Source organism: Homo sapiens, chromosome 15, assembly GCF_000001405.40.
Source record: "Homo sapiens chromosome 15, GRCh38.p14 Primary Assembly".
NCBI lineage: Eukaryota > Metazoa > Chordata > Mammalia > Primates > Hominidae > Homo > Homo sapiens.
In genome coordinates this window covers 25,699,122-25,722,161 of record NC_000015.10, presented here as the reverse complement: position 1 = coordinate 25,722,161, position 23,040 = coordinate 25,699,122, and the positions used below count along the sequence as shown (strand labels likewise).

The window sequence follows — 23,040 nt, the reverse complement described above, 5'->3', positions numbered from 1 at the left end:
CATACTTCCAGACACCATAGTGGATCCCCGCCCTGCAGCTGCTCCATAAGCTGTCCTAGTTTATTCTCTTTGCCAATACTCTAATACTTTTCCAATACTGACTCTAAACCAACCTATTTAAGCTCTCTTAAAGGTACAGTATAGTCCCTACTTTCTTGCGGTTGTAGTCATTTGTTATTTAAATAGATTTGAGTAATTCCCCAGCTCCCTGGTCCTCACGGTCATTCATCCTGTGTGCCTTGTCTCTTCCAGGTTTTGATCCCAATTTCCTTATACGTTTCCATTGAAATTGTTAAAGCATGCCAAGTGTACTTCATTAACCAGGACATGCAGTTGTATGACGAAGAAACAGACTCGCAGCTGCAGTGCCGAGCTCTGAACATCACGGAAGACTTAGGACAGATACAGTACATTTTCTCAGATAAAACTGGCACTTTGACAGAGAATAAGATGGTTTTCCGAAGATGCACTGTGTCTGGTGTAGAATATTCTCATGATGCAAATGGTGAGTCTGGGGGTGCGGGGCTCCCAACCCAGGCTGAACCAGAAAGCTGCCCTATCCAGAATTGTTTGGAGACACACACACACACACACACACACACACACACACACACACACGCTTCAGGGATTACTGATTTTCAAGGGAGTATAAAGACGTGGCTGTCACAGCAGCTCAGGTGCCTGAAGCCCGGTGCTATTTATAGAACAGGCACTGGCACGGCCGCCCGCCCTGTTCCTGCAGTGTCTGGGGTGCCAGGCATCCGCCTAAGCAATCAGGCAAGCCACCCGCAAGGAGCTCACTCCCAAGGCATCCGGTCCCCTTGCTCTGCCACACCAAGGGACAGAGAGATGTCTCTGTTGTCATCCATCCATTTTCTAGTCATAAAATCCTCAGAAGGGCACTGGCTAATTCATGTTTCGTTCTCTTCCCTGGAACAGTGTTCCTGGGAACTAGAAAGATGAATCGCCTCACTCCCAATTATTGAAGCGGTCCCCACTCCCACCTCTCCCTTCCTTATCTGTGGCTGCCTCCTTCCAACCTGGTGTCTCTGGGGAGACACCAGCTTCTGAATCCCAGGGTGTGACTGCAGCCAGCGCCCCACCCCAGTCAGGAGAGGGCATGGACCAGGGTCCCCGCCACCACTGTGCCTGGGGCTGCAGCGCCCTGGGAGTGGGCACCCTGCACTGCAGCCTGGGGTCCATTTCCTGCCTGTGACAGAAACAGAGTCCATGCTACAGAAACAGCAAATTAAAACCGGACAGAGGGAACGCAAGCGGGCATGACTAGGAAGCTGCTCTTTAGAAGGATTTGGTGGGAAGCATCTGTTGTTTACTTGACACTTTTGTGAGATTTATAAAACCAAGGATTATCATGATAGCCACAGTCTTCCTCAACACAAAATGAAAGCAGTCATAGTAAACAGAAGGCAGAGGAAATTACCCACTTTGTTTAAAGTTTTATTTGCCACCCAAAATAGATAATCATGACAGTACTCCATCCACTCACCCATCCTCCCTCCCACCAGCCTCCTTCGGCCTCCCTCTCCTCTCTTTTTCCCTTCTCCTACCCTCCTCTCCTCTCCCTCCTTCCTCCCCTTCCCCTCCCATAGTTGCTAAACCTGGTACAGCACAGTGCATTGTGCTCTTCTCAAAAACAGAACTCAGCAGAGTCCTGAGGGGATCAGAGACCCGGGCAGTCGGTTCTACAGCAGCCCTTAAAGCCGAGACCCAGTTTCAGATAGACACGAGGAATAGGTTTTGAGATCTGTTGCACAGCCAGGTGACCAGAGGCAATAAAAATGTATTACACATTTCAAAACGACTCAGAGAGTAAATTTTAACTGTCTCATCATAAAAACATGATAGGCAAGCAAAGTGACAGATTTGTTAATTAGCATGATTTAATCATGCCACATTGTACACATACATCAGAACATCACATTGCACCCCATGAATGTATACAGTACTGATTTATCCATTAATAATAATAATACATTTAAAAGATAATAATAAAGTTGGAAGCTTAGGCTCCCAGGGGCAGGATCCCAACTAAGATTACAGAAAGATTCTGACAGTTGCCAAATGCTACCATAAAACCAGAGGGTTTCCTTGCCTCAAGACACAGGGAGCTTCCTGGTGATGAATGAAACCACATACATCTCAGCAGCGTGTTTTAGAGAAGTGCCTGGATCAGCTAGCTATTGACAGGCACCCAGGCAAGGAGCGTCATCAGCCAGTTATCTTATGATCTGACCTCTCCAGATGTCACTCATAAAGGAGTTCAGATGGACTCTGAGCCCCAAGCCCTGCTCACGTACCAGAACCGGCTGTGGAAGCCTTGGGTGTGCCCCCTCTGACAGCTTGGCAAGATGACCTGGAGCTAGCTGGCTGTGCATGCCCAGGAGGGGGCATTACCTGCTCCTGGGCCTCATCTTTCCTGGGGACATGGAAGGCATCCCAGGGGCCACTGCCGATCAGAAACTGCTTCAGAACACCAACATACCAGCCGTGGCCCCCACAGCCTCTGAGGGAAGGAGGGGGCCCTGAAGGATGGCTCCATGGAGCTCCGGATGTGCGGGACCACTGCTGGGGGAGGGTGGGATGGGCCAGTCCACTTTCTTGGCAGCTGAAGCCCAGCCCCTCACCTCATGCTGGACAGAGTCATGTGTCCAGGTTCTGTGCGTCCTTGCTTCCGGTGCACTGGGCTGATGCCACCCGAGAGCTGGGGAGGCATTTGCGGGGCATCTGCTCCTGGAATTAGGATCTCCCTGAGTTGGAATCCTGGCATTGGCAAGTACTCAGCCTTGTGATGGTGGGCAGGTGACTTCCCCTTTTTTATCCCCATTTTTCTCATCTCTCACAGAGGGTCTATTAAGAGATGCGCAGTGGTCCACGCGGCTGGCCGGCTCCATAAGTATCTCCTTCTCCGGCCTCTTGACAGGCCCCTGCTGCTTTGACTCAGCACCATGCCTGTGCTTGAAGTTCTGATTAAACGGTTGTTCTGATAAGTAATCCTCATGAATGGTCTCCATTTTGCTCATCCACGGTGAAACAAGCTGTCCTCCCTGGGCAAAACCCAGAAAACTGGTTCAGAGCCATGGGTTAGCAAGAAGCCACAGCGCAGGCACCTCTAAAGGGGATTTGCCCAGCGTTCACCAGGTCATGGGGAATTTGCTCAGCAGGGCAACATCACAGTCAAGATCATCTTGGATGGAGTTTCAAAGCTGAGTCCAAACCCTAGCTGTAGGGGTCCAAGCTGTGCAATCTGGGAGTGTGAGCCCCCCTGTGCCATAGCATTTCATCCAGACAGGAGCAGATGGTGGCCACCGTCCATGTGGGCAAGGAGCTCAGCACCAGGTGAGCACCGTCATCCCAGCATGACTGGAAGGCCTGCCACCCTCTGTCCTGCCTCCCTCTCCCGGCCACCTGCCACCCTACCCCATGTACACCTAGGCTCTACCTGAAGAGACCGGCTGGACGTCAACCCGTTCCCCTTCCCCTAAGTTGTGCGACCTTAGAAAGCTCCTTACGTTCTCTGAGATGAAAGTCAGTCTCTGTGAAACAGAGTTGAGAATATCAACCTCCCCAGGTTGCAGCTGACTGAGGATGTTCTCCGTGCCTTGCTATTAGAGAGCAAGGGTGGTGAATCCTGTGGGGCTGCCCTGCCGGAAGCCTCGCGGAACCTAAAACACACTGAATGGTTTCTTTCTGCTCCGCCCAGCCTTCCCCCATGATGCCTCACCCTGCGCCCTCTCCCCGCAGCGCAGCGTCTGGCCAGGTACCAAGAGGCAGACTCGGAGGAGGAGGAGGTGGTGCCCAGAGGGGGCTCGGTGTCCCAGCGCGGCAGCATCGGCAGCCACCAGAGTGTCCGGGTGGTGCACAGAACCCAGAGCACCAAGTCCCACCGGCGCACGGGCAGCCGGGCCGAGGCCAAGAGGGCCAGCATGCTGTCCAAGCACACGGCCTTCAGCAGCCCCATGGTGAGTGTACAGGGCCTCCTGCTAGGGTGCTGCCACGTCTCTTCCCCATTTTCACCATCCCCCGCTCATGGAAGGTGTCTATATTTAATCCTACAAATACACTGTCGCTGGGCGGCTTGGCTCTACTCAGCAGAAGCTTTTCTGGCCAACACTTTCTCTCCACTGTCGTCTTTTCCAAGACACTGACATGGCCCCTTTGCATGGCTTCTAAGGCTGGTTGATTGCTGGCAAGTCACCCAGAAAGGGTGACAAAGAGGAAGCCCGTGCTGCCAAATGAAGCAAATAAAACCTCAGGACAAGATGACAACCGCTAAAAAGCAAAGCCAACCCCTCCCAAGGGAGTTTTAATTAGACGAGCCCAAATCCATAAAATACTTTCTGCCTGGCCTTGTCAGCCGCCCAGACATTAATGGACCACCATCATCCAGCACGGAGAGGCGAGAAGTGAGCAATAACCTCTGAAAGAGCCTTTCACTTCTGAAATGTTTTACCAATGCAGCAGAGGGGATGAATCCCCCTTGCTTACTCTGTGGTGGCCTCATTCTCTCATGTGCTTCTAAACCCACAGAGAAGCTGCCATCTAAATAGGGCTGATTTCGAGTTTTGGACGCTGATTGGTGGGTTTCTACAGGGCCCCTGGGAGTGGGGGCTCTCACGCTTGGCAGGAGGGAGGCTGCACTGGAACAAGGTTTCCTGACAGCATTTTTCAGTATGAGTCAAGAGTATTTAAAGTATTCAAACTTTCTCGTCTAGCAATTTAGCGATTCAGCCAAGGATTGCTACATATGGAAGTTTATCAATGTGTAATTTACATCAGCAAAACTGAAAGAAATTTAAATATCCAGTGATAAAGGGATGGTCAAATAAATGATGACATATCCATTTTCAAGTTGTTAAAATGTGTTTTTAAATAATTCTTAAAAGCCTGGAAAAGTTCAGACAATTAATAATGTTTTGGAGAAAATGGAAACCACCAATATGTATATAAAATATTTTGATTATGTGAAATTTAAATGTAGAGCGAAAAGACTAGAGGGCAATGCTGAAGCATGGTTTTCACAAAGTGGATAGAAGCTCTGTATATTTTGTGCAATTAAAATTGTAAGTAATTTACAATTATAAAATGACATATATGTATATGAGAGATGAAGTTCTGTTTACAGCTTATAATAAAATCAAAGTACCTTAAATAGTCACGCCCCAAGATCCTCGGCAGGCTACTGGGTGGGACTCACTGCCAGCCTCCCTTTCTCCCAGGAGAAGGATATCACGCCCGACCCAAAGCTGCTGGAGAAGGTGAGTGAGTGTGACAAGAGCCTAGCCGTGGCGAGGCATCAGGAGCACCTGCTGGCCCACCTCTCGCCTGAGCTGTCTGACGTCTTTGATTTCTTCATCGCACTCACCATCTGCAACACAGTCGTCGTCACGTCCCCGGATCAGCCACGAACAAAGGCAAGTTCTGGAGGGTCCCTGAGCTTGACCTTGACCTTCTGCGCTGCGGGCCATGGTTGTCAGTCCTCCTGAGGGCAGGCGCCCTTCCCTTTCCTGCAGCAAGCGCTCTTGGCACATCGTGACCTAAGGGGGATGCGGTGGGGTGCTTCATACTGGGCAAAACAGTGCTTGTGGTTCTGCAGCGTTGGCCCCAGGCTATAGTGGGCAGGGGCTATGATTGGGGCCAAGTGGGAGGGGGCAGCCCACCAGAGATGACTTCTGAGCCTGGGAGGGGAGGGACACAGGGCAGCCAGATAGGCCAGCCTCAGGTAGGCAGGTGGGTGTGTGGAGGCCCTGCCTGCCTGGGTCCTTCCTTCGCTGCCTGGCCTGGGGCAGGGCCAGAGGGAGGCTACCCAGGACAACCTCCCCGAGCCTCAGGGTCCCAGATCCACACAGGAGAGAGGACAAGACAGGCCGGGGGCCCAGCTTCTGGGACGAGGAGCTTGCACATGGACCCTGACTCTACCAGCCATGCAGCTGGAGACACATTGGCCTCCTCCCTGTGCCTGGGGTGCCCGCCTGGGCCGTGGGGCCATGGGGAGGATTTATGGGGCATCGAAGATTGTTCTTCAATGAAAAGCGGTCGAGAATCGATCAGAGGCTACTTAGGACACTGGAAATATAGCAATGCTCAAATTGGTTTTGGTTCAGTCTGACATTAAGGTTTTCTCCTGAGAGAGGAAAGGTTGCACGTGTGAAAGCTCCTCTATCACCCAGTGCACCCCAGAAAGCCCTACAGTGGGCTAGGCAGTGTAGGGGGCACGGAAGCGTGATATGCATATGGAACCAGGCAGTTTTGAATGTTGAATGGGGTAGGTGTGTGTCATAGACCTCCCAGCCCCCGACTCTCCCAGGATCCCTTCCCAGCCTCCTGGGTCTGCCCTTCCAGCAGGTCCCTCCGCAGGCGATGTGGGGTGAACAAGGTGGCCTGTATTTTCTCTGCTGCAGCAGCATGTCTGGCAGTACCTGGACCCAGTGACTCCCAAGTGGACAGGCCTGCCACTCAGAGACCAGCAGGCTTGAGGCTTAGGCCGGCAGCCCTGGGCTGGAGCTGCTTCCCGAAGCTGCAGTTCATCTCCTGGCTGCCTCAGCATCTCCCATCTGGCCTCTGGGCTCTGCCCCCAGCATTAAAAACCCTTCTGGTGTATATCCCTGCAGGAAGTGCCCCTTTTCTGGGCTAGACCCTGACTGACAGATGTTAAATGAAGGGTGAGAGATGGCAGCGTCATTGAGGCTTGTGCTGAAGGTTACACGGCTTGAGTTCCACCTAGGGAACAGCCTATCAATCACCCACACTCAGGCTGCAGGTGAAGATGTCTCTGGGTGCATTTCTATTCCCACATATTGGTTGGTGAGCGCCACCTTCGAGGACATTTGGAGCCAGCAGGGATTGCTGTGCAGGTGCCTATGTCTCCCAGCTGGCTATGTAGCGTATTTAAAGTCATAACAAGACCAAAGGAAAAGCACCTGTATCAAAATCTGGCTCTATGCACCTTGCTTTACCAAACACCTGATTTTTCTGGAGGCTGTTACTGTAATTCACAACTTAGGATGCAATGGTAAAATTGCAGTTTTAAGAATTGCTAATTCAGTATTTTGGTTGTTTTGACATTTGCTCTTTCAATAAAGAGCAAGAAAAAAGCGTGGCTCTGTTGCCCTATCATTGAGCTTTTTGAAACTTTAACAATTGTGTGTGTGTGTGTGTGTGTGTGTGTGTGTGTGTGTATATGTGTCATTCATTTTGTTTCTTACTGTGGTGGTTAAAATATTGTTTCAATGTTTGGGATCCTCAATTTGTCAGTGTATTTAATGCGCTTAGAAGGATTATTTGGGGACTGGAAATGTGATTTGTATATTAAATTTTTATAGACATAATTCAAAGGAAGTATAAACTGATGGTTTGTTAAGTGACTTTTTAATTGGAAAAAAAATGCCCAGTTTTGTGCCAGGCAATGGTGAGCCTGCTCCCCTGAGCTGTTTTTTTGCAAAGCAAGGGGACACTGTAGTGCAGGGACAGCCCCAAAAGAAGCCTGCAGATGCCACCAGCTGCAACTCCCCTGCATACATCCAGGCCTCACTGATGGGCCCTCGGCAATCACGTTCTGAAAGAATCTTGCATAACCTTTGTTTAAGAGAAGTGGAAGAGGCCAGCGGACGATCTCAAGGAAGGAGTACTGTCTCTGCTTGCAATTTCTTTTTTTATTATTATTATTATACTTTAAGAAGTTTTATGATACATGTGCACAACATGTTTATTGCGACACTATTCTGCTTGCAATTTCAATGCATGCCTGAAATCTGGGAAATGGGAAATCTGTGCTCTGAGACCCCAGTGGGGAAGCGAGGTCATTGTTCCTCCAAGTGCCTGGAGCATCCTGTGGGAACCAGGGTGGGGCCTCTGGGGGACATAGCAGTTCCCTCACCTGCCTTCTGACCATTTCTCTTGCAGGTGAGGGTGAGGTTTGAGCTGAAGTCCCCGGTGAAGACGATAGAAGACTTCCTGCGGAGGTTCACACCCAGCTGCCTGACCTCAGGCTGCAGCAGCATCGGGAGCCTGGCCGCCAACAAGTCCAGCCACAAGTTGGGCTCCAGCTTCCCGTCCACCCCGTCCAGCGACGGCATGCTTCTCAGGCTGGAGGAGAGGCTGGGCCAGCCCACCTCGGCCATCGCCAGCAACGGCTACAGCAGCCAGGCGGACAACTGGGCCTCGGAGCTTGCTCAGGAGCAGGAGTCAGAGCGCGAGCTGCGGTACGAGGCGGAGAGCCCGGATGAGGCCGCACTGGTGTATGCGGCCAGAGCCTACAACTGCGTGCTTGTGGAGCGGCTGCACGACCAAGTGTCAGTGGAGCTGCCCCACCTGGGCAGGCTCACCTTCGAGCTCCTGCACACACTGGGTTTCGATTCCGTCCGCAAGAGGATGTCAGTGGTGATCCGGCACCCGCTTACCGATGAGATCAACGTCTACACCAAGGGGGCCGACTCAGTGGTCATGGATCTCCTGCAGCCCTGCTCTTCAGGTACTCCCACCCCTGCCCAGCTGCACCCCAGCTCGGGGGAGGAGGTCCTGAGAAATATCCCCACCCAATTCCTTCTCTTGAGTAAAGTGATTTTCATTAATCCTTTTCCAACAGAAATGCCCATTGGAGAATTGCATGGTTTCTTCAGATCAGTGTTTGCCTGTTTGAAGGGTTTGGACTAGGAAGTATTCAGGGGACTTCCATGCCTGCACACCCCCACCTCCAAGAACTGGGGGGTCAGAGGATACTTGAAGAGTGTCACGTTTTAAATTTGAACAATGAAGGTTGAGAATCTAGACTAGTAGCTCTAGAAAGTTCTTCCTGCCCTGTGGACCTGGTGCAGCAGAGAGATCCAGGCCACAGTTTATGGGGCTGCCTTGGGCCACAGTGGGGGCCCAGGAAGTAAGGGATGCTGGCCTCCCCCACTGCCCTCTGTTCTGGCACTTGGGAGGGGAAGGGCCGAGCCCCCCTCATAAAGGGAACCTGGCCACCCACCTCTCCCTCTGTGCTCAGAGGACGGAGGAGTGCAGCCTCACCTCCAGGGAACTGAACTGGGTGGAGGTGAGGATGCTGCAGGAGCCTAGGGGCCCTGCTGAGGCTCTACTGCCTGCCACGGGCTTCCTATTTGCTGCACCTTGGAAGTACCTCTGGGCAGCAGCTGCTGGGAAATGCTATAAGCCGGTTGCTCCCTTCTGGAGCTCCGAGTTGGAGCTAGGGAGTACTTTACCTCCCACTGGCCTTTCTTGCCAGCATCTCAGTGCCTCAGGAGAGGACCCCTGGCACAGAAGCCCAGGACCACTCATGATGGAGAATTGGATGGGAGGAAGAGCTTCATACAGGAAATCCATGTCCCCATCACAGAGCTGTGACCTCCAAAAGGCAGCTGAGCTAAATCTGCAAATGTGTCTCTGAGAGGAGTTTGGATGACCTTCCATGATGATGACCACCGCGGGGCGAGATCTTCCCTTTCTCCCACTGCAGTGGCTCTGCCTTGGAGTCAGCAAAGAATCCAATTCATGGACACAGTTTGAGTTCTAGGAAGCTTCTTCTGAAAATCGATTCTTGTTTACATCCACACAAAAGAAAAACATAAATAGGGCAATTATCTGAGTGATTTCATTCTACAGCAAAAAAAAATCTCTCTTATTCCACAGCCTTGGGTTCAAGACAACATAAGGGGTCCTGGGCTTCAGATTTCACAGCATGACGGGTGATGTCTAAGGGGAAGGCATGGAGTGGCCCTGGCATGTGGGGGCTGCCCAGCGCTGGCAGGCGAGGCCTGTCCAGTCCTGTAGAGCAGGGAGCCCTGTGAGCTGTGCAAGGAAGGCCGCAGCACTTGCCGGGCTTGTCTTTGCTGGCAACATATTTTTTTACATGAGTAAAAACCTCAAAAGCAGAACACACACAAAAAGAACTGCTGTCACTAAGTCTCACTAATACCATCAGCCATTATTTCATAAAAGAAGGACCACATTTCACACTCCACCCCGTCCCCCCCAAAAAATTACCAAGGATAACCCAGAAAACTGGATGCCTTTCAATTGAATGAATTTAGCGTCACGACCTGCTCACTCTCCTACTCCTGCTTTTCTGGTACCTTCCCAGAGTGGATAGAGCATTATCAAGAGGCAGGGCCCCCCTGCCTGTTCACTAGCAGGTGCCGAGGGCCATGGCAAAAGGAACAGTGGTGGCCTGGCCTCCAGAGGCCCCTGAGTGAGCCAGGGATTTCCTCGTTTGTCTGCAAGTTGGGAAGGCACCTGATGCCGGTTACAAGACAATCCACAATGCTCTCCTCCGACTCAAAATCAAACTCACAGTCGGGGTAGGGGAGCCCCTGCCCAGGCCGGGGAGCCTCTCAGACCTGGCATCGTCAGCGTGGCTTTGCTCTGGGTCTCAGGAAGGGAGCTTCCCATAACCAGGTAACTGCAGATAAGAAAAAGAACCTCAAATCCATGGCATCATGGAAGGGCCAGGTAATGACATTGTCTCAACTCTCACCTTATCAAAACCATGACATTGATAGGAAAAGTTAATCAAGGGCTTGTGTTGATCTCCGCCTTCCTCTGGGAATTTCCAAGCAGTGCATGAAGTCAGCTTTGGATAGGGAAGATCTACGTGTCAACACTGGGCAGGTTAAGGTTCAGGAAGTTCAGAGACCCCAGCAGTTTCCCAAGAGAACGACTACAGGAGGGCCCTGGAGTCCCCTCGAAGTTACCCACCTGTGACCGCCTGCCCTTATGCACAGATCATTCGCCTTTTACTTGGGGAGCGGTGGAGGGGTGTGGATAGGTGCAGACTCATTGCAGAGGGCTCACTGTGCCTGGGAATCGCTCTGCCTGTGTAAATCAACTTACTACCTGTGTGTAGGTGACAAACTGAGGAGGGCACAGAGGTGTCCCACTCCAGACTTAATCTGATGCCCTCTTCAGAGGGCTCGAAACACTTTCACCAGAAGAGGCCCGAGTTGGCTGAGCAGATAGTGGATGTGACTGTATGATATCAGCAGGATGGGGCCATGGCTCACCTGCCCTGGCAGGTGTGGTGTCAGGCAACAAGCAGGGACTCCACCCCAACCCATTCTCACAGATCTCTGTTCAAATCCCAGGTCTACACTTACGGCTGGGATGACCCTGGACGAGTCACTCACTCTGTGCCTCAGTTTCCCATCTACAAAGGAAATCACAGTGCCTGCCTCTCACGGGAAGTCCCCACATGAGCCCCTAGCTCAGTGCCTGCTGTTACATTGATGTCCAGCGTCCACTCGGTACCTTTCCCAAGTCTCTGGCTCCTTCTTGTTAAGATCCACTTGCTTATGCTTTGGTGGCGTTGCTACTTGGAGTGGTCTTTAAGGTGTAAACCTCAGGCCACTCTGCCTTCTCCCAGAGCAAGGACAGAGAGATGGCCGTAGCCCACTGCCTAGCGTGGGCCTCACACATTGATACCATGCAGTAATCAGTATATGTTTTTTGCATGATGAGTACATGCATGTACAAGCAGGGACTGCACGTTAGTTTGCCATTTTAATAAGATAACTCCTTATTGGGGAAATATCGCTTGTAAAGCTTAGAAGAAATGGAAATATCACTTGGAGCAATTTTAAAGCACGTGGTAAAATCATGAAGAGAGGCTACCCTCATCCCTCTGAGGGCCTCTCTGTGGGTCTGCAAGCACCACTCGCCAGCTGTCTCCTGGTGGGAACATCAGGTGCAGCCCACTGTCAGGTGCAGCTGTCTCGGCCCTGCTGTGTCTGGGGTCAGTGGGCACTGGAGTCATCTTCGCAGACTGCACCTGGAGCTGTGCCCCTTAGCCTCCTGCTCCTGCCCCGACCCAGATGCAGCCTCAGCGTCCTGCAGCACAGAGCTCTCGACTGTCCCTGCCCAGCAGGGGGCGCCGGGCAGCACTGGTCCCACTCCCTCAGGTGGTGTCACTCCTCACCCGAGGAGCTGAGTTCCAGGCACAGAATTCCTCCTGTCACCATAGGGAGACAAGACACACAGGACTTGGGTGGCTGTGGAACATCAGAAAGAAGGGGCTAATATTGCATGACCGTTGCCTAAAATGCAGTGTGAAAATTGCCATGCCTTCAGCTCGAAATCAGCCACCCCCAGCATCACTTCAGCAAGTGGAGAAGAGCAGGGCTGACTGAATGCCTCTAGGGATCCACACTCTGTTCCCCAGTACATTCTCCTTCGGAGGTTCCCCCAGCTCCTCGGTGATGGTCTCCTTGGAGCTTGAGTTCTTCCCATCCTCTCCTACCCCCCATCAGAGTGTAGACCGATTCCAGCCTCCACAAGGGCCCCACCCTCCAAAGCCCAGCCTCGGTATTCCGCAGTGACTGCCCAGTGGTAGGTGCGGCAGGACATGTAAGGGAAAAGTCACCCAAGAACGAGGGGCAGATCTCGCCAGAAGGGGCACAGGTGTGTGTCCATGTCTGCAGGAGAGGACAACGGGCTCAGCCACTTCTGCCTGGCAGGGCCAGGTGCTCCCTGTCACTAGGCTCTGTGCAGATGGCCCTGCAAAGAAACACCCCATTGTCCACCTGAGAAGCAGACACCTGTGGGGCCGTCTCCTCGTCTGGGGCACCCAGGGTCCCGAGTGGCCCATCCTCCCTCCCTGGGCTCGGTTCATTTTGTTTTGGAGAGTGGTTAATCTCAGTGTCACACCCGGTACCACCGCACGTCCCAGTGCACGCCACATGTCACCTCTCAGGACAATGGGACAGCTTTATCAAGAGTATTTCAATTCCAAAACCCCTCAGTTAGGCACGGCTTTGCTCGAGGAACAATCTGATTCTGGGAAAAGGTTATCTGCATCTTCTAAGAGTGTTACCACGATACCAGGAATACAAAGATGAGTTTGAGCATCATCCTTTCGGGAAATGTAAATACCTAAAGCAAAGGATTCTAGGGCAACTGTTTTTCTTCCCCATTATCAACTCCATAAAGAGTCTTTTCTGACTTCTTTTTCAATTGTCCCCTCCTGGCCTTTTAATAACATAGATATGCTGTGTATCTGTTTATGTTCTATATGTGTACTTAGACTTTGTTTAGAAAAGAGTAAGATTTTTCCACCTCCAAGAACCAGTGATCACTCCCTTGAGGGCTCTGTCACCCCTGTGGAGAATGCAGCACGGTCAGGCATGTAAAAGGGTCTCTTACCGGGTCCTCTTTCAGGTGGTGGACTTAGATTAGTAGATAATCCTTCCTGGGCCACGGGCCTCATGACTGGTCAGTAGTGTTGCCAGATTTCACAAACTGTATATATAGAATGTCCAGTTAAACTTGAATTTCAGACAAACAAATCCTTTTTTAAGTAAAAGTATGTCCTATGCCATATTTAGACATCGTTTGTTGTATCTGGCAATGCTACTTGTAAGGATCCTACTCTTCTGAGGATAGAAAGTGCACTTCCCATTAAGTAAGAATTTTCATTAACAGGAAGAACGTGAGCCTCCATTTAATAGGCTGGGCAAAAGGATGCCAAATGACTTTTGATGTAGTTTTTATTTTCATGAGCTTATTTCAACAAAGGATGTTAAAAACAGCCAAACATCAGCAGGGCGCAGTGGCTCACATCTGTAATCCCAGTACTTTCGGAGGCCGAGGCGGGTGGATGATTTGAGTCCAGGAGTTCGTGACCAGCCTGGGCAACGTGGCAAAACCCTGTCTCTATAAAAAAATAAAATAAAACAGTCAAACATATTGATGAGACTCTTTTTTAAAACATAACAGCTCATTTTTGCTTTGAATTCTATATGAAAATTTGTGCTCTATTCGCAAGTAACGAACAGACGTGGGGTAAATCTCGGAGTGTCTGAAGACCATTCCACAGGCGCCAGTTCTTACCCATGTTTCTGCTTATTCTCCAACCTAGTTGACGCCAGAGGGAGGCATCAAAAAAAGATTCGGAGCAAAACTCAGAATTACCTCAACGTGTATGCGGCGGAAGGCCTGCGCACCTTGTGCATCGCCAAGAGAGTGAGTGGGGGTGTCTCCGCGAGGGTGCACGTGCAGGTGGCCGCCCCACAGTGAGCAGCGCCCGGTGCAGCACTCAACAATGTATCTCCCATAGGTTCTGAGTAAAGAAGAGTATGCCTGCTGGTTGCAAAGCCACCTAGAAGCCGAATCCTCCCTGGAAAACAGCGAGGAGCTCCTCTTCCAGTCTGCCATTCGCCTGGAGACCAACCTGCACTTGTTAGGTAATTAACTTGAGAGTCGCATGCCTAAGGGCAGTGTGGAGTTTGCAGGGACGGCCCTGGAGGGGTGAGTGCTCTTGTCAGCGGCTGCTCCGCAGGCTGGCCTTGGTTAGGGAGCCACCTGGCAGGACGCTGGCACAGCCGAGGCGGGAGGGTGCTTGCCTGAATCTTCTCCTAGTCTCATTTCTGTGAGGTGCACGTGCTGCCCCCCAGGCACCCCAAGACAGCAGCTGCCACGCTTCCCCTTAACCTGGTTTCCCACCAAAAATAGAGCCAAGGAGTGAGATTTCTGACAGTTGGGAGTTGAAAGGATTTTCCCCTCGGGAAACAGGGAAACTTTTGGGACCCAGAAACTGCTGCATTTTGCATCTTAGGAATGTTTCACAGATTCGAGGTGAATGAAAAGAAAATGGGCTCATTTTTACTGAAATATGTCCACATTTCCAGCTGTGTTCATCTTGGTACTTAATAAATGCTAACTAGTATTAGTGATAAATGAAGGTATTTATTATGTTAATGCTTACTTTAATACTTAAAATATTTATTTTCCTATTTATTAAAGCATTCATTAAATAGCCAAGTCATTGTATACATGCTCTGTGTGTCCTTGAAGAGCTGGTGTTGAGGATGGTCCACCCCCACCTCCATCTCGGGTGCTGTGAGTCAGGTGGTACTTCTCGAGCACAAAGCCCTGGGCAGGTCATCTTCACTTAACACAAAAAGGCGGTGTTCACTTGCCCTCTTTTTCTGGGCAGAGGAGTTGGGATAGCTATATATTTACATCTACATTTCTAGTATAATACATAGTTAAGGTTTGCATTTAATAGCATAATGTACACTAGGCATAACATATATCTGCACACATTTTATATATTGTTTGCCCACAGAATCTTATAGGAGGCCACACATTACTTGGAAAGCCCCGGGATCCAGGGGCCCAGTGGCACCATGAGTGGCAGCCCTGGATGTGAATTAAATGGAACACCTGAGAAATGGCTGTGCCTGTTTTAGGCCCTGAAGTTTTGGCTTACTAAAGCAGGGCTGCTGTCGTCTGGACTGATTGGGCTTCCCCGGAAGACAGTATTGTGCAGGCCTGTGGGGTAGGAGGCATCTGCTGGTTGTCCCAGACGTGCCCGCCCAGCCTCATTGACCAGGCTTGTTTTTAACCCTTCACTGTGGGGCACCTTCCCCAGGGAGCAGCTTTTCCCCTGGACAGCACTAACTTCTCAAATGGAGTGAAATTGGCCCTCCGGTGCCATTTCACAGTGCTTGCTGGTTCCGCCCCCTGGAGTAATGCAGACAGAATCTCCTCCCTTTTCCACATGATGAAACCTTGACTATTTGGGGACATGGCTGTGAGTCCCAGGCTGCCCCTTCTCCATCTTCCCTGCTCTCAGAGCCCAGGAGCCCTGACTCAGTTGTCCAGCCCTGCTCTGCCACTGCAAGCTGGTCATGCGGGCTGGTCATGCAGGCTGATCGGACAGCCTGGGGCAAGTGGCTCAATCCTTTTTGCATCCAAGTTCCGCTCTGTGGTAATCCCAGTGTTTTGGGCTCTTGTGAGGGTGAAAGGAAGGGATGACGGGGGGCACTGAGCGTGGCGCAGGCACAGGGCCTGGCACTGAGCGGTTGTGTGGTGAGTCTCCTGGTTGGTGCTTCCACACCGTTTCCACCCAGCTGGCCTCTCCTCTGCAGGCTTTCTCTGGTGATCGTGCATCGGTCACCTCTCTTGGCCCGGATGCTGCAGCTCTGTTAACATATCCTAAGTTGTTAACGGCCCCTGCGGCACCCGAGGCTCATGGTTAACTTGAGTTCCAGTCATCTTCTTAGGCCTTTTTCACAGGGATTCCTTGCTTGGATTCTATAATTTTTACTTGGGCAACTGTGTGAAGATCTAAAATCAGAGTTGTCTACCGATCCCCTGTTCCACTTCCTCTGATTGGAGTCGGGATCCCGGTCATCAGCGTTTCTCCAAACTGATTCCACCACATCCCGCTGTCATCCTCAGGTGGATTCCTTCCCTCCAGGTGCACGTGAGGATGGCTCTGAGATGTGTCAGCGATGGAACTCCTGGGTTGCCCACATGGGTGCCAGCCGTGCACTGGAGCCTGCTCACGCCTCCTGGCAGAGCTCATGGATACATTTTGAAGAATTTTGCAGTAGCCCACATAAATGTTCAGGAATCTCACGTCGCCTTTTGATGCTATGTTAGTAGATTGAAGTCAGCCAAGGTGGGAGTATTTATACCACAGAAATGAGCAAATGCAGTAAATCGACCTTCCTCCCACAGACCGGTTGTTAACCACTTACCATCTCCTGCTACCTGATATGTTTATGTTTCAAATGACGAGGCCTGAGCTGGAGAGTATGGGAGCCACCCACCACCTTAGCGTTCACATGGCTCAAACGCGGGCACTGTGTTCCAGCTCCTCAGCTTCATTAAGAAAAGTGAAGCCAGCCACTTATATTTTTACTATTCCAAAGCCAAATCTTTTCATGAAGGTGATTTTTTTTGTTTTTTTTTTTTGTTTTTTTTTTTTTGCTTTGAGACAGAGTCTCACTCTGTCACCTGGGCTGGAGTGCAATGGTGCGATCACAGCACATTGTGAGCTCAAATTTCTGGGCTCTAGTGATCCTCCCGCCTCAGCCTCCTGAGTAGCTGGGACCACAGGCGTGTGCCACCAGGCCCAGATAAATTTTTACTTTTTTTTGGTAGAGACAGGGTCTCACTCAGGCTTGTCTCAAACTCCTGGTTTAACGTGATCCTCCTGCCTCAGTCTGTCTAAGTGCTGGGATTACAGGCGTGTGCCCCTGCACCAGGCCCAGGTGCTTATCTTAAATAGCATCAGAGAACCATACATAACTATCTTCAGCAGAAAGGATCTCCGTTCTCTCCATGCTCTTGAAATTTTCTTTTCCTTAATGCTCTGGGCAGGAACCTAAATTCAAAGGATACTCTTGCTCATTTTCCCCGGCGTCCTTGCTAGTTTCTCTAAATGTCTAAAACTTCCTCGTTGGTGAAATCCTTTCCCCTCCCATTCAAAGCTGTGTGGCACCAAGCACAGTGACGCTGGGCTCTGCACACCACCAACTCCTGAGTTATGATACTCAGAAATGCCAGGCCTTCCAGAGGGTCAGGTCGTAAAGACAGTGGCATTTACTCAGAGTCACATAAATTATATCACAAACAAGTACCTTGGAAAGCTGAAGAAAGCCGCTGTGCCCCAAATCATCTTGAAAGGCTGCTGCCTGCAGGTACTCTTTCCTCTGCCATGTTTCATGCCGAGGTGGGGGTCCCTCCCATAACTCCTTTTTCAGTTCAATGCTATTCTGCACCTGACTCAGGCTCACACCTTATAAAGGTGAGTGTTGGTGGGGTGACCCAGTGGGAGGCCCATGAGTTTGACCAAATAGCTCCTGAACTAAGGAGGTTCTGTTTTCAAGGTGTTAACTTTTCCCTGTGAAACAGCAGACACCCTCCGTACTGGAGTTTCCGGCAAGGCCTTCCCTGCTTTCTTTCTTGGCAGACATTTGACTGAGGGACTTTAGCTCAGCAGCTCGGATACAAAGGTGGGAGGCACAAGGTCCTTGAGGCAGGAAGTTGCCATTTAGAGAAGAGTGGGCAACTGCTTGGGTTATGTTTCAAGCACTGTAGTGGAAGCGTTATCCTGGCAAATTGTCAGTAATCCATCAAGGTTAGCCATTATTAGTCTTACTCTATAATCATTATTACTATCATTAAGTATGAATGAATTACTATGAACACACAGAGGAAGGCAAGACCATCCCTGTCTTCCCCAGACATCAAGGAACCTGTCATAGTACAAGTGACACTCAGGATGAGCCAGGGACACGGGCCACACACAGTCTGCCCCCCTACTAGAGCCCAAGGGCCAGGGTAGAGGAGCAAAGCTAAGGTCAGATGCCCTCCCGGTGCCCGGGTGGCTGGGGATGTGCTCACGGGGAGCACAGAGCGTGACCTGGCTTTCTTCCTGAGCAGGTCTTAAGCTCCACACGCTGTGTGGTCTTCCCAGGGTACTCAGGTTATAAGGTTCAGAGCAGTGTGCAGCATGGGTGCAATGTTCCCTCCTCCTTTCTGGGCCCTCCCCAAGTTCCCACATCACCTTCCAGTACATCCCCGACATGGGAGCTAGGCCCAGGCTACCTGAGCTGGAAGACAGCAGATCAGCCACTTGCCCCTGAGGGGGTCTTCTGGGGTGCTGGTGATGTTCTGCCCCCTAAGTTCAGGGCTGGTGACACTGGTATGTGACTTGTGAAAGTGTATCAAAGGAATATTTAAGAAATGTACACTTGTGTGTTTACTGTACCTCAGTTCTACCTTCCCCTCCCCATGCCTGCCATCCCATCATTCTAGAAGAAGGGGTAAGGGTGGCTTAGTTCGTTTGTTCTGCTGTCACACAATACCACAGACTGGGGACTTAAGCCACAGACATTTACTTCTTAGAGTTTTGAAGGCTAAAAGTCCAAGATCAAGGCTCTAACAGCTCACAATGTCTGGTGTGGGATCTCCTCCTGGTTTGCAGATGGCTGCCTCCTTGCAGTGTTCTCACACAATGGGGAGATTGAGAAATCACCTTTCCAATGCCTATTTATTTATTTATTTCTTGAGACAGAGTCTCGCTCTGTCACCCAGGCTGGAGTGCAGTGGCATGATCTCAGCTCACTGCAACCTCCACCTCCTGGGTTCAAGCAATTCTGCCTCAACCTCCCGAGCAGCTGGGATTACAGGCACCCACTACCACGCCCAGGTAATTTTTGTATTTTTAGTAGAAACAGGGTTTCACCACATTGACCAGGTTGGTCTGGAACTCCTGACCTCAAGTGACCCGCCCGCCACGGCCTCCCGAAGTGCTGGGATTACAGGCGTGAGCCACCGCGCCCGACCCCAGTGCCTCTTTTTATAAGGACACTGATCCCATCGAGGGAGCCCCATCCTCATGACCTCATCTGAACTTAATTACCTCCTGCAGGCCCCACATCCTAATACTACCACACTGGGGATTAGTGCTCCCTCCTATGGATCTGGGGGACACAAACGCTCAGTCCATAGCAGCATCCCAGCACAGGGCACAGCATGGTGTAGCGCAGTAAAGGAGCCTCAGTCAGGGCTCGAACCTAGGGACCAGGGCTGCAGCTCACTTCCAGAGTGGGGAAGACAGAAACCATCTCACCAAGATGTAAACAGATCTTAAAAAAAAAAAAAAAAATCTGAGGCAGGCCTAAGCACATTTCCGCAGTCAATAGTAGATTTTTCCCAACATACTGAGACCAAAAAGGCAAAACCTGCCTCTCAACTTCTTTATGTTTGTGGAAAAAGCATATTTAGGATAATCTTGGTTTCAAGAAATAATGGCCTTACCTGTGAAGTCTGTTTCTATAGTGACTAGTAATAAGCATTGTTGAGACTGGACATTCTGAATTTCATTCACCAGAAGCTTTCTATGGGATGGGCAATTTTTAAGACTATATTTTTATCCCTCCGAATATCGTCATTCCCAACACCTTCCCATACGCTTTGCCTTCAGGTTATCTGTAAAGTTACAAGTTAGAAAGAAGTTGAGGTACTTTGGTGTAAGTACACATAATTATGCTCAGTGACTCACAGTTATTCCTACGCACTCGACTGAGTCACATCGACAGAGCTGTCAAAAGCGTCCACCACTGTCCTGAAATGGTTCCACAGGGGACTTCCTGTCACTACATGGCAGACAACTGGCAGCCCAGCCCCTGGCAAGGCCCAGGCAACAGGGGCTGTACCAGTGCCTGCCTTCGGTGTATCTGGTGCATGACATTTGCACCCCAGAAGGATTGGGGGGCACGTGAGAAGCGGGTTCGCTCACACTGCTGTGCATTTGACCAGGTGCCACTGGGATTGAAGACCGCCTGCAGGACGGAGTCCCTGAAACTATTTCTAAATTGCGTCAAGCGGGCCTGCAGATTTGGGTTCTCACTGGTGACAAACAAGAAACAGCTGTCAACATTGCATATGCCTGCAAACTGCTGGACCACGACGAGGAGGTCATCACCCTGAATGCCACCTCCCAGGTAGGTGGGTTTCAAGTGGCTCCGCTTCCTTCCCCTGGGGTGGTCCATGTTTATCGTGGCCCCCTTGGCAGACACTCACATTCCTGGCAGCTGCTGTTAGAAGGACCTCACCCTCCGCATTCGGGTTTAGGATGTGCATGTTATTGCCTTGGAAGAGGTAAAGTTTGCTGGAATTTCTTAGTACCAAAGGAATGCATGTCTGGGCTTTATTGATACAAAGTTCAGCCTGGTTTCTCCTGACATACTGTCCAAGTCATCAAAGAACTTTCTCGTGAGGTCCCCTGTGCTTCCACAGTGGAGCCAGGGCAGTGGTCCATTTAGCACTGACCACCTCAGGATCATTGCAGGCACTGAGGACTTCTTTATCCAGTTGGATTTGTCTGTTTAAATCCCCAAGTCTGTGGCGAGTAGCTACTTCATATACTGCCCTGGTCTGGGCTCTGAGTCCTCGCAGAAGTTCCCACTCAAAACTTCTTGCGCCGGCTTTCAGGCTTCTTGAATGGAGCAGGGAACTGTCTTGCTGTGGCTGATCTGCTCCTCCCCAGTGTGGCCAAAGCCACCACAGCCTCTCTGGGGCTCACACTCAGACTCCCCACCCCAGCCCCTCTTAGGTCCACACCTGCACCATCAGCTATCAGGACCTTGGGACTTTGTCGCTTGGGAGTCCCCCTTTCTGAGATGGCCTTGGTGGGAGCATTCCTGCTCTGTGAGTTATTGCAGCAGCCCCCACTCATCTCCTGGCCTCTAGGACCTCTCACTCCATCTGTAAGCGTAGGAAAGGCTGCCTTTCAAGCCCCGTTGTCCACATTGTACAGACGCCATTGTGACCCTCGCACCTTGTTCCATTGGATTCTATGATCCAGATTCCCACCATTCCCAGTCCTTTCTTCACAGCCACGCTGGCCGGGGCACCCCCTTCCTCTCACATCTATGCAAGGTCACCCTGCTTCAGAGCCTGTGCCTTCACCAGGGCCTTTTTTTTTTTTAAGTGACCTCTTTCTCCAAGAAAGTTTGCGAATTTATACTAAAGGTTGACCTGATGACCTGGTCATTGCTTTTATTTATTTATCTATAATTAGCATATAGTAAAATTGGCTCTTTTTTTGGTTATACACTTACATGAATTTTAACACGTGCATAGATCTGTATATGTATATACACCACCCTATCCACGGTCCAGGAGAGTTCCATCATCCCCAGAAAGTCTGCCATGCTACCCCCGTGCAATTGTAACTTCCCTCCTTTTCTAACCTCTGGAAGCCACCAATCTGTTCTCCAGAACTACAGTTTTGTCTTTTCCAGATGTCAAGTAAACAGAATACTCCAGTGTGTAACTTTCAGAGCCTGGCTTCTGTCACTCAGCATAACACTTTTGAGATTCACCTGAGCTGTTGCATGAACCAGTAGTATATTTCTCCTTGATGCTGAGTAATATCCACTAACACCAGATTTTGCATATCCATTCAATCAGTGAAGAACATTTTAGTTGTTTCTGGTTGTTGACAATCATAAACAGCACTTCTATAAATGTGTGTATACAGGTTTTTGTGTGAACATGTTTTCATTTCTTTAAATACCTAGGTTAGATGTGAATGTGTCTAAGTTTATAAGAAGCTGCCAGACACCAGCCTGCTTTTCAAAGTGCTGTATTACTTTGCTCAGTGTCTTTTCCAGCACTTCGCATTGTCATTGATTTTTTTTCTGCTAGCCCCTCTAATGGGTGTGTAGTGGTATCTTGTTATGGTTTTAATTTGCATTTCACTAGTGTCTAATGAAGTTGAACATCTTTCCATGTGCTTATTTTCCATTCAAATATCCTCTTGGATGAATTGTCAAGTATTTTTCCATTTTCTAATTGAGTTGTTTTCTTAATGTTCAGTTTTGAGAATTCTTTATGTTTTCTGTATGTAAGTCCTTTGTGGGCTATGTGATTTGCATATATTTCATCCCTATCTTCTTTATTTTTTAATATTGTCTTTCACAAAAGCTTTTAGTTTTGATAAATTTTTATTCTTGTTAAATTTTTATTTTATTATTTTATCTTTTTGGAGATGAGGTCTCACTCTGTTATCCAGGCTGGAGTGCAGTGGTGCCATCGCAACTCATTACAGCCTCAACCTCCCAGGCTCAAGGGATCCTCCTGCCTCAGCATCCCTAGTACCTGGGACCACAGGAGCGCACAAGCATACCTGGCTAATTTTTTATTTTTTTAAGAGATGGGATGCCCCAGCGTTGCCCAGGCTGGTGTCAAAATCCTGAACTCAAGTGATTGTCCTGCCTCGGCCTCTCAAAGTGCTGAGATTATAGACTTGAGCCACTGTGCCTGGTCTGATTGGTCATTTTTTTTAAATTTTATGTATCATGCATTTGGTGTCATGTCTAAGATGTGCCTAATTATGAATATTTTCTCCTGTGTTTTATTCTAAAAGCATTACACGTTAACATCTTATCTATAGATACAGTCCATTTTGGGTCACATTTCATGAAAGGTGTGAGGGTTAGGTTAGACTTCATCTTTCCACATGTGGCTGCCCAGTTCCTCCAGTGCCATTTGTTGAAAGCGTCTTCTTTTGGTTGAAAGCGTCTTTGTCAAAAATCAGTTAGTTACATTTGTGTGGGTCTGTTTCTAGACTTTCTGTTCTGTTCCATTCATTTGTTTGTCTATCCCTTCACCAATACGACGTGTATTGATTCATTGTAGTAGTTTGATTACTGTAGTTTTTTATAAGTCTTAAAAATTGGTAGTGTTATTCCTCCAACTTTATTCTATTTCAAAATTGTTTTGGCTAGTCTT

At 49.8% G+C, this 23,040-nt stretch overlaps 1 protein-coding gene across 10 annotated transcripts in view; it reads left to right on the top strand.

Moving 5' to 3' along the window:
- The window catches only part of ATP10A (ATPase phospholipid transporting 10A (putative)), a 192,852-nt gene that overhangs the window by 142,927 nt on the left and 26,885 nt on the right, over positions 1–23,040 (top strand). For 9 of the 10 annotated variants that reach the window (XM_011521828.3, XM_005268261.5, XM_011521826.3 and 6 more), the window contains 7 exons: positions 253–505; positions 3,763–3,980; positions 5,238–5,432; positions 7,921–8,488; positions 13,862–13,965; positions 14,060–14,186; positions 20,062–20,246. In XM_011521828.3, the coding sequence (XP_011520130.1) occupies positions 253–505; positions 3,763–3,980; positions 5,238–5,432; positions 7,921–8,488; positions 13,862–13,965; positions 14,060–14,186; positions 20,062–20,246 (1,650 nt within the window). Of the gene's footprint in view, positions 1–252; positions 506–3,762; positions 3,981–5,237; positions 5,433–7,920; positions 8,489–8,602; positions 11,253–13,861; positions 13,966–14,059; positions 14,187–20,061; positions 20,247–23,040 lie in introns of those variants that run through there. The other variant, XR_001751368.2, reaches the window with a different exon arrangement.